This window comes from Homo sapiens, chromosome 11 (genome assembly GCF_000001405.40).
Source record: "Homo sapiens chromosome 11, GRCh38.p14 Primary Assembly".
Taxonomy (NCBI): Eukaryota; Metazoa; Chordata; class Mammalia; order Primates; family Hominidae; genus Homo; species Homo sapiens.
Window position 1 is genome coordinate 89,623,737 of NC_000011.10, and position 15,216 is coordinate 89,638,952.

Below are 15,216 nucleotides of genomic sequence, written 5' to 3' on the forward strand. Positions count from 1 at the left end.
CATGCAGGTAAACACACACTGCTTGATACTTACTGTGGACTTTGAAAATTATGAATGTGTGTGTGTGTGTGTGTGTACATTCAGCCCTCCATATCCATGGATTTTGCATTCACAGATTCAACCAACCATGAATTAAAAACATTTGGAAATAACAAACATTAAAATATAACAATACAACAATAAAAATAATACAAATAAAAAATATAGTGTAACAACTGTTTACATAGCATGTATGTTGTATTAAGTAGTATAAATCTAGAGATTACTTAATGTATACCAGAGGATGCATAGGCTATATGCAAATACTATGCCACTTTAAACTGATAAGAACAGATACTAAACTTCATCTTAGCCAAAAGTCAGAGAAACAATATAACTATGCCATTTTACATAAGGGACTTGAGCTGAGCATCCTCAGATTTCAGTATCTTTGGAGTTCCTGGAAACAATTCCTTGTTTTATATATATATATGTGTGTGTATATATATATATATATATACACACATATATATATATATATATATATGATAGCTACTGAGTGACAGGTGATATTATACCATACCACTTGTCACTCAGTAGCTGTATATGCATATGTATATATATACATATACATATATGTGTGTATGTGTATGTGTGTGTGTGTGTGTGTGTGTGTGTATGCTGTCTTTCCTCGGTATCACAGGGAATTGGAGATATATATATTCTTTTCAGTACAAAAAAAATTGAACACAGATGGGTATGGTACCAGAACAGAAGGTAAAGACACATGAAAAAAATTTGCAACAACATGAATGGAACTGGAGATCATTATTTGAGGAGAAATAATCCAGGCACAGAAAAACAAGCATTTTATTATTTTAGGTGAAAGACAAACATTTTATTTTAGGTGAAATAATCCAGGCACAGAAAGACAAACATTGCATGTTCTCATTTATTTGTGGGATGTAAAAATCAAAACAATAGAACGTATGGAGGTAGACAGCAGAAGGATAGTTACCAAAGGCTGCAAAGGGTAGTGTAGGCTTTGAGGGTGAGGTGGGGATGGTTATTGGGTACAAAAAATAGTTAGAAAGAATAAATAATATCTAGTATTTAATAGCACAACAGGTTGACTATAGTCAAAATAACATAATTGTACAATTTAAATATGAAATTAAATATATATACAAGACTAGAACACCAAGTTGAATGACTCCAGCTTGCGAAACCCACATTGATCACCATGCTTGCCCCAAGGGAAGCTGTACAATGTCTGGCTCGTCCAGAACCCCATCATTTATCACTAGCAATCTATTGTCCATAATCATGTTTAAATTAATAGCATTTTAAAGGTACAAATATTTTTTAAAAAACAAATAATTATTTAATTCGCCTTTTAAAAGCTTTTTAAAAACGTTTTTAAAAACTTTTTTAAAGTCCTGAGGACTATTTTCTTTAAAGTGCTCAGTTACAGAGCTCCATATATTGGGCTATGATAGCCTTACCTGATTCTTGCCAAGAATCTAGTGCCCAGAAAATGCAAATACAAAGTAAGCAACTGAAAAATAAACAAATAAGTTGGAGGTATGCTACCTGTTGAAATATGACCTAGCGCAAACACCTATGCCACTTGCTTATGAAATCATATAGGTTTTCGGTGTGCAGTTTTGACTGAATGAGGGAGTTTACGCTGGACCACAAGGGGGCCCCTCTGTCAATAACGTACTCCATTTGTGTATTAAGTCAAAAATGAAATGGAAGAGAAAAGAAACATCGATGACCCCAAGTCTCTTTAATTGAATGGAGGTAAAAGGGAAACAACGAATGAGAAAAGTACTCTGCCCTTTTAAGAATCTTGCATTCACATTCCTGATGAAGTTATTTTTCCTCCTCTCACTGATTCCCATTTCACTCTATTACATAGCACCGTGTTCCCCAGGAGCTCCTGAATGAAGGACATCACTCAGCTGTGTTAAGTATCTGGAACAATAAATATACTAGTTTCAATGTCTAGGCTATGGGTATTCCTTTTTACTGAAGGTATGACATATAGCTGCCCAGGCCTGACTAAATTAATAGTAATAATAATTAATAATGGCAAATTTTTATTCTATTAAGTTACTTGGCTTGACTTGTAGAAATAGCAACATTCATCTGAAATGCCCCCTCCTACACTTATGTCTAAGGACAAATCCCACATACACCACAGATAACTTCATTTTACATGTTTTATTCTGTTACCAAACTAAATTTTTATCATATAGTCTGTTGCTCACTGAACTCTTCAGTAATTCTCAACATACCATGTAAAGCATTAAGCACAGTTCCAACACAGAGCAAATGAGCAATAACTGTTAGTTATTATAACATTATTATGTGTTTTCAGTGCATTAAACCACTGGTCTGATACCTAGCCCAACATTCTATTAAACCACATAATCCAGTTGAATAATATATGATAATATAATAAAATGGCGATAAGTGCTAAATATCCAGATAGAAACACAGATGGAATCAGACAGCTTTCCCAAGAAATAGAGAAAATAGTAGATAGGCGATCTAGGCCTAAGCACTCTAAGCAGAAGCTAAGTTATCACAGGATATCTTGGCAATCTGTGGCACGTGAACCCTTTTCTTCTGGAGTCTGGAACTATGTTGCAACTCTCACTTTCTCCCTATCTAGAGACTCAGTTTGTTCCCTTGTGATTATCAGCAGTTGAGAAATCCTTAGACCTTCTGAAAGGACTACTTTTTAAATTTATATATATAATATTTAAAATACATATCTTTATATATAATATATATTTAAATATATAATATTTAAATTAATATATATTTAAATATATAATATTTAAATTAATATATATTTAAATAAATAAATTTATATTTAAATATATAATAATTAAAATATATTTTTAATGAACAGAGAGTAAAGGATTATTTTGAAGAGAAACTCCTGGTTCCCACTTAAAATCCTTTCTTGTTTCCAAGTTTTTCAAATGGAGCCCTCTTTACCAGCTTGCCCCCTCAGAGATAAGCTGTTCCCCTACTTATTCAGATCTGAGATCTGAAAACATTCCTTTTCCTGTGAGTTCAGCTAGGACAAAGATGGAGCTTTTTGATAAAATTTGGCAAACACATTTTTTAAAGATGAAAATTTTTAAAAATTGAAAAAAAAACATTTATAGAAAGAGACTTCTAATCCAAATTTAACTTCTCAAACTATGTTTTGACCGGCTAGCATAATGTTTCAGTCTTTCTGGAGAATGCCCCTTGAAACTGTTTTCTTCTACACAACTTCCTCCTTTCCTTTGACTTTCCTGCTCTGGAAGGGAAGAACAGGAAGAGGACAGATCAAATTACTCAAGAGGAAGGACAAGAAATAAGGAACCAAATTATCAACAATTGGAGAAAGAAAGCTGATGTCAGTATCATTTCATATATGATTATGTCAGAGTCAGGTGGATAAGCCAATCCTGTTGAATAGCATACTTTTCCTGCTACTCCTGAAGGGTAAAGAGGTCTTTCTCTTACAAAGCCGTCCTAGCTAGTAATCTTACAGGTGCAAAAAGCTTGTTTTCATGTTATTTCTTAGTAACTCAAAATACCTCTAAAGTTATACATATTATGAAAGTACTACAGTCACAGTGCTGAGAAAAGGAGTAAATAAGACAATGTATATAAAAACACTTGGCTCAGCCCCTGGCTCTGTGGTTGATAAATATTAAGTTAGTATTCATTATTATTATAATTTCCAAAGAGTCCATTAAAAGATATAGAAGAAGGGAGGCAGCAATAACACTAAGAGAAAATTCCATTATCTCCAACTATTTATCCTCTAGCCCAAAATAATTGCCATTAGAAAGAGCAACTTTAACAAAAATTTTAAGTTGCAATAGATGTTCAACTTTAAATCCATCCCAGAAAAATTTCTAACCAAAGGAGCATAGAAGATTTGATCTTATTTTCTAAGTAGTATAGACTTAATTGTGAGAACAAAATAAAAACTTGGGGAAATACTAGGGAAGAGAAATAAGGGTGTGAAGAGCTGATTATTACAATTCCTTCTTTCCCTTCTTGACTTTTATTGCTGATGGGTAATAAAATATGCAAAGAATGTGCTGAGAAATAACCTAAACAAATAAGCCAGTATACCACAAAGATCATTTGAAACTTAAACAATTAAAATAAGATATCATCTGCTAAAATAATAATTGGCAGGGCTAGCACAGTTTCTTCTTTCATGTATTTCTTCCTTCATTTGACAAATAGACATACAACTGTGTGTCAAATCGTGTGGTATACTTGAGGCATTCAGAATTAATTGGGCATCATTCCTGCCTTTGCGTCAGTCTAATGAGGAAGAAAATCTTTCAATAATGATTTCATGTCCTTCATGTCATTACAGATGGGTAGATAGAGTACTATGACGGCACAAAAGATAGAAAAAAAATATCTTCCTGCAGAAGGTCCAAATAAGTCCAATGCAAGGGTGATATTTGAGACGAGCCCTAATGCATGACTAAAACATTTCCAGAAAGCTAAGTGGCAGTGAATATCACAGGCAAATGAGACAGATTTTTTAAAAATCCTAATATCACAAAATAGCCAACAATATTCTAGAAACCATTTGAAGTTCAATGTATCCAGTTTTCATATGTGATGGCAGGAGGGAAGCGGGGAGTACTAGTGAATTAGAGATGAGGCTGGAAAGCTTAATTATTCAGGATTCTATACGGTAGATAAAATAAACCAATTCCAGTTAGCTTAAGCAAAAAAGAGAGGGAGTAATGGTGGTAGGGGCTTATTATAAAGACACAAGAATGTCTCACAGAAGCCAAATCTAAAAATGACAATGGGTCTCAGGAAATGCAGGAATCAAGATCTTGGAGATTATAAATTGAAGGAGTGCTCCATTTCTAATATTGTTTCTGCTCCTCTCTGGGCACTTGCTTTATTCTGCTTTCTAGTTAATCCTGCTTTCTTCGTTATTCAATTCATATGTGAGGTAGAAGCTAGCTAGCCACTCATGTAATGCTTCCAGTCACTTTAAACTTGAATTCAACACCTTAGCAAAAATATTCTCCAAAGCTGAGTCATATATCTACTCTTCATCTATTTCACTGTGACCAGGGGCATGAGGTTTTCAAGGTAGAAGTTCCTCACAAGACTAGATTTGTATGAGATTTTGCAAAGATTTGTACATCTTGATAAAAAGTTTAAACTTTGTTTTGCAGAGAAAAATAGAGTAAAGGCAAAGGTTTACAAGGAAAAGATGACTTTTTTTCCCTTTTAGGACTAAGTAGAGGTAGTTGCTGGTTATGAGTAAAATAGACAAGAGTGACCGGATTTTAGCCTCAACTGCTGTGAAGAGTGGTGTCATCATTTATTCAGGTACGACAGGGAGGGAAGTCTGGCAATAGGTTGGGTTGGTATTGGGGAGGCACAAAGTAAATTTGTTGGGCAGTGGGTTGTAGAGCAACTTATCTTTCACTATGTGAAGTTTGAGCTAATAGACTTCCAGTTGGAGACCTCAATTAAGTAATTACATATTTAATGCTGAATCTCAAGGGAGAAGTCTAAGTGGACAACAAATACGAAAAAAAATGCTGATCTCAATCAAGATCAGAAGTGTTTAGTGCACCAGCTTCTGTACCAAATCAATCCATTCAGTTAAAAAAATAATTTATTCTTTTATTGCTATAAAGTTTATTTGGGTATTATTGATTGCTCCTAGCAATGGTTCGGTAATCTAGGCTCTTTCTGTCTGTGGCTGTATCATTCTCCAGGGCCTCTGAATCCTCTGCTAGAGCCTCTGTGTGTTTCAGAAACCATTAGGGTAAATAAAGAGAGGGGAAAATTGTATAGGAGGTTTTTGGAGAGGGGATAAGCTTGGAAGGGGCATACATCACTTCCTCTCAGATGTTATTAGCTCTCACACAATAATGAGGACACCCCTACCTTTAAGGGAGACTGAGACATGTGGCCTAGCTGTATTCCCAGAACAATAGGGAAATGTGTTTGGTGAACCTCTAGCCAGTTGTGGCCAGATATAGATGGTACTTGGAGTTTGAAATCACCTCAAGAGACACTATAGAATGAAAAGAGCAGGGCCAAAGGGAGAGCCCTGGAACACTCCAGCATTTAAAGGTCTGGTAAAAAAAGGCAGGGCTGGCAAAGGAAACTGAGAAGGGACGCCAGTCAGTTTCAGAGGACGATGGTGTCATACAGTCTAGAAGGAAAGTGTTAATGAAGGAATTAGCAATTAACTTTGTTAAACTCTCTGAGTGTCTGCACTGACTGTTTTTTTATATCCTTGAGGACAGGTTTATATACAGAAAACTCTTCATAGTTTTACTTTAATTTTTATAATCAATATTTAACTGATTGAAGCTACATTTAAAAAAAAAAAAAACCCTGTTCTTTAGCTTCTTGATATTATATATATATATATATATATATATATATATATATATATATATATATATATATATATATCTTTGTTGGGAGCAGGTCCCCCAAAATCTGGCCATAAACTGGCCCCAAAACTGGCCATAAACAAAATCTCTGCAGCACTGTAACATATTCATAATGGCCCTAACTCCCAAGCTGGAAGGTTGTAGGTTTACAGGAATGATGGCAAGGAGCACCTGGCCTGCCCAGGGTGGAAAACCACTTAAAGTCATTCTTAAGCCACAAACAACAGCATGAGCAATCTGTGCCTTAAGAATATGCTCCTGCTGCAGTTAACTAGCCCAACCTATTCCTTTAATTTGGCCCATCCCTTCATTTCCCGTAAGGGATACTTTTAGTTAATTGAATATATATAGAAACAATGCTAATGACTGGCTTGCTGTTAATAGATACGTGGGTAAATCTCTGTTCAGGGCTTTGAGCTCTGAAGGCTGTGAGACCCCTGATTTCCCACTTCACACCTCTATGTTTCTGTGTGTGTATCTTTAATTCCTCTAGTGCCGCTGGGTTAGGGTCTCCCAGACCGAGCTGGTCTCGGCATATCTTACTCTATTTAGAAATCTAATAAATTTTAACAGTAACTTACAGGATATCTCATAGTCTTCATCTTATTTTACATAGTTAATTAAATACTGTTAAGCATTTTAAATAACGTTTATAAATGTATTCTATTAATATTTTAGGTACTTCAATGGTCTGTCCAACAAACATTTCTAAGTACTTAAAATTAATTCTTGTAAGTCTAATATATTTAATTCACAATTATGAGTAATCTTAACTTCTTTTTTCTTTTCTTTTTTTTTTTTTGAGACAGGGTCTCACTCTGTCACCCAGGCTGGAGTGCGGTGGCTTGCACTCAGGCTTACTGCAGCTCCAACCTCCCAGGTGTGAGCTATCCTCTCACCTCAGCCTCCCCAGTAGCTGGGACTATAGGTGCAAGCCACCACACCCAGATAATGTTTCCATTTTTTTGTAGAGATAGGGTTTCACCATGCTGCCCAGGCTGGTCTGGAACTCCTGAGCTCAAGCAATCTGCCCACCTCAGCCTCCCAAAGTGCTAGGATTGTAGGAGTGAGCCATTGTGCCTGGCCCGATTTTAACTTCTTTTCCATATTCCAGTCACAGTGCATATAAATACAGTAAGTACTTTGAATTTAAAAGTCAAAAGGTGAGCTCAACTACTCAATTTATACAGCTTACATTGGAAACAAGTTTCATTGAATAGTCAATATTCTTCTGTACAGTACACATCACATTTTTGAAATACTAAATATGCTTAAACTTATTGTAACTAATGGGTTTAATTACCTAAATATTTCTATGTTTACTTTAAATATTTTAAGGGTAAAAGTAGGCTTTCCCACAAAGGAAACAACAGTGTTATCACAGAGTCTTTGAGGATACTCCCCTAGATGGTTGGAATATGCATATTCGCCTAAGATATTGACCAGGGACTCTGATATCTGTTACTGTGATAGAACATACTCATTCTTATCTGTAGTCACAATATCAACTCACTAAATGGTCTTGCAGATCTTATAGCTCAGGTACATTACATGCTTCAGTTTGGATTTCACCTGTAATATTTTTTTCCCACAGAACTCTGCAAACCCACCCAGGGTCATATCACTGGATTTAATTTTCTTTGGCTTTTATATTATTTAAAATATCTTCTTACATAGGTCAAAATACTTCTGATCTTGATGGAAACCTACACCTTTGTCATGTTTTTCCTGTTTGGTAAGAACAGATGTTCTTATGGGTCTAAAGAATTCTTATGGCTATACCACGTCACATGGTTCAGTTATTCCACTGACACACACACACACACACACACACACACACACCAGAATCAAAGAACTGATCACTGCCTTTGAAAAGACGTAGACCATTGGTAACTTTGAGAAGAACCTTTTCTGGGAATGGTAAACATTACGAATGAGGCAAAATTGAACAATTTGCCCATATTTGCATATGTGAGTTACTGACTGAGATAAATTTAAAATCAGGTATGTATGATTCATATACTAACCTATTGAACATTATAACTTAGCCTCGCCTAAGTTAAACATCCCAGAACACTTACATTAGCCAACAGCTGAAAAAAATCATCTAATACAAAGCCTATTTTGTTATAAAGTGTTGAGTATCTCATGTAATATATTGAATACTGTTCAAAAAGTGAAAAGCAAAATGATTGTATGAGTACTTGAAGTATGGTTTTTGCTGAATGTATATCACTTATGCAGCATCATAAAGTTGAAAAATCCTAAGCCAAATCATTGTAAGTCAGGGAGCATCTATTAAATTCTCATGTGAATCAGGTACACGTAAAAAAATTTGTTTTAAGTACTCATGTGATATTACCAAGAAAGTGAAAAGACAACTAGAATGTCAAATGAAATGTTTGCAAATCACTTATTTGATAAGAATTTTGATATGAATAAAAATGAAATACCCCATTTTATGTCTATTCTTTAAAATATTATAAATATAATATTTTATAAATACTATAAAGTGACAAAATGATAAGATAGATCTTTTATATGCTCATGTAAAACTCTGCATTATTGAATAAAATAAATTATAAAATTGTAGTCATAATATATACAAAAACTCCTACAAATAAAAAAGAAAAAGGCAGAATACCCAAGAGAAAATGGGACAAAACACTTGGTCAGTGCAAAAAAAGAAGAGTACAAATTAGAAACAACCACATGAAAAGCTGCTCCATTTTAGTTGTCATCAGTAAAATACCAGTTGGTTGGCAAGAACAGAGAGAAACTGGAATTCCACATATTCTTCTGGTATGAGTAGTACATAAAAGCCTTAGAAAACCCTAAAATTTTCTACGAAAGCTGAACATATACATAGCTATGACTTCTAGATAAATACCCACAAAAATAAATACATAAGACCTCCAAAAGATATGCACAAGAAAGTTCACTGAAGTACAATTTCTAATAGCCAAGAACTGGAGAAAATCTAAAAATCTATCAAGGAGAGAATAGATAAATAAATTGCAAAACATTTATACAATTGATAAATCCACAACACTGAAAATGAATGAACTATTGCTACATGGAAAGACAGCGAGTGTCCAGTGGTGTGCTGCAGCCTGCTTCTGCCAGCTTACAAAAGGCAATTGTGGCCTTCCCTTTGAGACTGCACATTCAGTAACTTCTTGCTGTTTCCTTGAAATCTGCCATGGTGGGAATATTTGCATCACAGAAATCAGTAAATGCTGCAAACCAAGGCTTTTTCCCTTCTTTAGAGCTGATTTACTAGCACACTACTAATGTATTTCACAAGCATAGTTCCTAGGGAAACAAGCCAAACACAAACATACAAGTACTACATGGTTCCAATTACAGAAATTTCAAAAGAGCAAAACTAAACAGTATTTAGAATTTAGAATAGGAGAATAGTGGATATCTGTCAGCATGAAAGATACTGATGTAAAGGGGATGTGATGAGGGCTTGTGGAGTTGTGTTGATACCCTGTCTCTTGATCTTGATGCTGAATGACCAGTGTGTTCATTTTGTAAAAACTCATCAAGCTGTACACTTAAGACTTGTACATTTTATGTATGTATATGTTAATTAAAAGTTTTCTTAAAAGTAAAGGCATAGCATGATTTCATTTTTCATTTGAACTATTGTGTGTATTTGAAGAAAAATGTCTCAAATAATTACTACCAAAATGTTGATGGTATTCATCTCTGGATGGTGATATGTTAAGGGAAAGGACAGAGGGTTATAAAATGGTACTTAAGCTTCTTACTTTTTATACTTCTGTATACATCAAAAAATAAGCATTTTGGCCAGGCGCGGTGGCTCACGCCTGTTATTCCAGCACTTTGGGAGGCCAAGACAGGCAGATAAGGAGGTCAAGAGATCGAGACCATCCTGGGTAACGTGAAACCCTGCCTCTACTAAAAATACAAAAATTAGCTGGGCATGGTGGCACACACCTGTAGTCCCTGCTACTCAGGAGGCTAGGCAGCACAATATCTTGAACCGGGGAGGTGGAGGTTGCAGTGAGCCGAGATCGTGCCACTGCACTCCAGCCTGGGCAACAGAGCAAGACTCCATCTCAAAAAAAAAAAAAAGCATTTTATTTTAGTAATAAAAATTAACAGAGGAAAAAATATATATTTTATTTAAATATTACAAGCATTTTTTTCCTAAAATATGTTCATTTACTACTCCATTTCATCATTACATTGGAAACAGTATTACCACATTTTCTATTTTTCAAAATTCCGAAGCAAAGAAATCTGTCTACAAAGTTCCCTCTGCAAATGTTCCCCTACTTTAGGTAAAGTTAGCATAAGGAGAATGAGAATTAATTACTTTGAAACAATGGAATTCAGATGAACCATTAGGGAAAATTCTTATTTATCTATGGCCATATCTTTTTGTTTATATCAGTTTTAAACTTTATACTTTAAATACAATAAAGTGCACATATTTTTAACATATGACAAAAGGAATTCAACAAATATAAATGCCTATGTAACCACCCCCAATTTAAAAATACTGAAATTTAAAAAAATCAAATTACTTGGAGAAATAAGTTAGAATTTTTATCTTCTAGAGCTATGTTATTTAGCATGCAGTTTAGAGTCCAAGAATGCTATGTTTACAGATTAAGAAGTAGCCAAGGAGGCTGGGCATAGTGGCTCATGTATTTATTCCCAGGGCTTTGGGAGGCTGAGACAAGAGGATTGCTTGTGGCCAGTTCACGATCAGCCTGGGCAACATGGCAAGACCCTGTCTCTCCAAAAATTTTTTTAAAATGAGTAAGGCATGGTGGCTGGTGTTTGTAGCTTCTGCTACTTGGCAGGCTGAGGTGGGAGGATGGCTTGAGCCCAGCAGTTTGAGGTGACAAAGCCAGACTTTGACAATAAATAAATAAATAAATAAAGCAACCGGTGATTTTTCTTGACTAAGTATTTTTCAAAGGCAAATATGGGTAAAAGTCTGGAAATAAGAGGAATTAAAAATATTTTAATTTTTTTCTAGAACACACCTCATAGATGAGTATAATACTCTGATTTAGTTCATGTTTGTTTCTATAAATTCTGACATGAAGAGTCATCTTCAATCTTTTTCCAATAGTTAAAGAAGGAAGTATAGTATGGCCTAATGCTTATTGGTGGGATTCAGAAAACAAACATCTGCCAATTGTTTTCTTGAGAAAGTTGTCATGGTCAACAACTGTGTGAGGCTGGCGTGCAGGTAGTAAAAGAATTTACCTTAATACCAAGACAGTAATGAGTTTAGAAAGGCGTATTTATTTAGAGAAAAGGGGAGACACATTGAAAGGGAGCAACTGGCCAGACAGCAGAGGGAAGGCTGTCTGCAAAGAGGCAGGGACTCGAGTGGAGTTTTATAAGGGTGCTCCTTAGGCTGAATGCTTGCAGACAGGATGCTTGGTTACAGATGGGCTATGAGCTGGGTGCTTGTAAGAGGATGCTTGGGTGTTAAGTGAGCCATTTGCAGTTGACCCTATTCTTGGAACATTCATTCCCCTCTGCCCCTGTTTCTGTTCCTGCCAGCTAAGCCCATTTTTCATTTTTCTTTTAACTCCTTAGCGCTCCGCAAAACTTAATCAATTTCTCTAAACCTCAGTTTTCTTATCTGTAAAAGGTAAATAATAATACAGGGTGCAACAGAAAAATCTAGTGTGGTTTACATCATCACCTCTTAGAGATTTTAAATTATTTCAGGATAAGTCACGAGAATTAAATGAAATAATGCATATAAAGCACATAGTGTAGTGTCCTCCATATAGAAAATGCTCAGTATATTGGTTATTAACTACTTGTTGAACGTTTATCTTCTCCACTAAACTGTAAGTTCCACAAGGCTTACAATATGTGACAGATGTTCATTCGTTGTCTGAATTCTTCAAATACATCCTCTTCACCATAGCGACTTATTAATTCAATTATTAATTGAATAAATTCTATTGTTCAAAAATCACTTTTATATTTAACTGAAATTTGCTCACTTATAATCACATCTAACCTTCAAAGAAAACACATTAACCAACTGTACTGCGTAATGTTACTGGGTGATCCCACGTTTTACAAATGAGAAGATATATTCTGGTAAGCTGAATACTTAGCACCCAAGGGTACACAGCTTGGACAGGACCAGGTCCAAAGATTATTAAGAGTCTTCTGACTCCAAACTCAGTGCTCCCTCCAGTGCCACAAGCAAACTCCATAAAGGTATCCTGTGCTGAATAGAGACTGTAGAGTGGTACAAAGACAGACAGACATTATATTAAGTCTTAGCTTTGTGACTTTGAATGACTTACCCAATCTAGCTAAATTTCAGTTTTACCATGTGTAAATCGGGAAGAGTAATAAGAACAAACCTTGAAGGGTCCCAATGGTGATTAAATGAGGTGACGTACATAAAATGCATCACTCATAATAAGTGCTCTTTAAATATTAGTCACTATTATTAGCCATCTCTGATTAGATTTGACAACAGGAACATTAGGAAAGATATAGTACATTCAGGATTTTGTTAGAAAGAGATGAAGAAATTCCCTTCCTTCCTGCCCTAGGTCATCTAGGAGTTGTCATGGTTCATTGCTGACAAATTAATTTTCCCAAATTTTTCACTTTGCGCAGAAAGTCTTCATCGAAGCACCCAAGACTGTACAATCTAGCCCATCTTTCTCCACTTAACTCATACTGTGCTCTCCTTTTCTCAAAGCAAACTGTTTGCTATTCCTTGAATACACTCTGAGTTTTCTGCCTTTGCCTACTCAGCTGGCCCATGGCCCCTAATGTTTCTTCTCATCTCCACTGGGTCAAATCCTACCTGTACCTTATGGTTCTGTTAAAAGCAGTGCTTCCATAAAGTACTCCTAGTAAATGCACGGCCTCTCTCATGGATTATAAGAACACAGTTTATTTTATAAAGCATGTAGCTATTCTCTCCCTCGAAATATCACTATTATTATTAAGAATTTATAGCAGGGATATAATTTTGTATGATGATTCTTCTGGTTAATCCAACCAAGACTGATTTTATATCTATTAGGTAAGACAGTAGCCAGACATAGCCGGGATATGAAAATAAAGTCTCTGCCTTCAACAAGTTCCAGTATTCTTTTCTTTCCTCCCCTCCCCTCCCCTTCCTTCCCCTCCTTTCCCCTCCCCTTCCCTCGCCTTCCCTTCCTTTCCCTTCCTTTCTTGACAGAGTCTCACTCTGTTACCAGGCTCCAGTGTTGTTTTCTTTTTTCGTTTGTTTGTTTGTTTTTTTCCTCTCTGTGCATTCTTTCTTCCTTGGAAGTAACAGAGGCAAGCTTGGGAACTGTGTGAACCAGGTCAGCAATCTGGACAGGTCTTTACCAGCAGGTCTTTTGCTGTTTTTCCTGGGTACTGATTTGCAGACTTGATCCAACTTTCTAAGAAAAGCAGAACCACACAGGCAAGCTCAGACTCTTTTATTAAATTCCAGTTTTGACTTTGCCACTTCTTAGTGGCCTTGAACAAGTTACCGAGTCCCTCTCAGCGTTAGTTACCCTATTTTATGATGAGGATAATATTATCTGCAAATTATTGGTAATAGTAAATAATATATCATGTAAATCTAGCACAGTACTGGGATTTTCGCCACTTCATTTCTTCTTTTACCAAGATGCTCCTCATTGGACTTTAATACACAGGACTAGTCTAAGGTATCACCAGGTAGTCCACTCCTGCTTGGAATTCTTGACCCTCTTTCGGGATTTAGAAGAACAGGGCATGGACCAGATGGGTTTAAACAAATTCAGTATCTTCAACTAGCTTCACCTTGGGGTTGTTAAAAGATTTTTGAACCACACACTGTGCTCATAACAATCTTCATCTCTTAAAAGGATTTTATTCTTCCTCGTATTGCCCTCACTCTCATCCCTGTATTCCGTGCTCAGTGGCTGACACAGAAGAGTTCTTTCTTGATGTCCGCCCCCTACCCCTTAGGATTCTCTGCTCTCCCCTCCCCCTACAGGCCTCCATCCTCTTCATCCTGTTCATTTTTCAGATCTCAGTTAAAGCATCTCATCCTCAGTGTGGTGTTTCCTGATCCCTCACTCTAATCCAAGTCTTTCTGTTTTACGCACAGGTGGAATCTTATTTCCATTTGCGTCCAATCATGTATTTTAATATGCATGGATATATGTATATGCATTTGTATGCATGCGATTAAGAACTAGAATAATTAATAATTGGAAAGCTCCATGAAAGCTGGTTGGGCACTAATTTTGTAACTATTTTATTCCCAGATCCTGTAATTTCTCTAAATAAACCCTGGAATCTTGCCTTATCTCCTTCAGGTTAAAAGCCAACTGCAAGGTCTAGTGACTGCAGGATCTAGCTATCCATTGTTTCTGGCCGCCTATGCGTGCACTGGGTGTCTGGCAGAGAGGCTGGGTAAATTGTAGTTTCATTGTAGCTGTCTGAACTTGGATTTCTCAAGCCTACTTCACTGGAAACACAAACTCTCACAGCATTTTGTTTTAGTTTCAGAATCAGAGCAAATTAGAAGTCTGAATTTCCTTCAACACTTGGAAATAATTTATGTATTTGAAATATATTCATAATTAATTCATTATAAAAATGTATTAAATGCTTATTCTGAGTCAGCAGAGGAAGATAGAAACTTTATGAAAGTAGAAGGTGGATCTCCTTTTTGCCTTCATTTTCAGAACATCTCATGTATACCCATTAGTTGAAACATCAATGTCATTTTATT

At 35.8% G+C, this 15,216-nt stretch overlaps 1 pseudogene; it reads right to left on the minus strand.

Annotated features, from left to right (window-relative positions):
• Positions 1–230: 230 nt before the first annotated feature.
• On the minus strand, positions 231–372 carry LOC124902843 (uncharacterized; annotated as a pseudogene).
• Between the last annotated feature and the right edge of the window lie 14,844 nt (positions 373–15,216).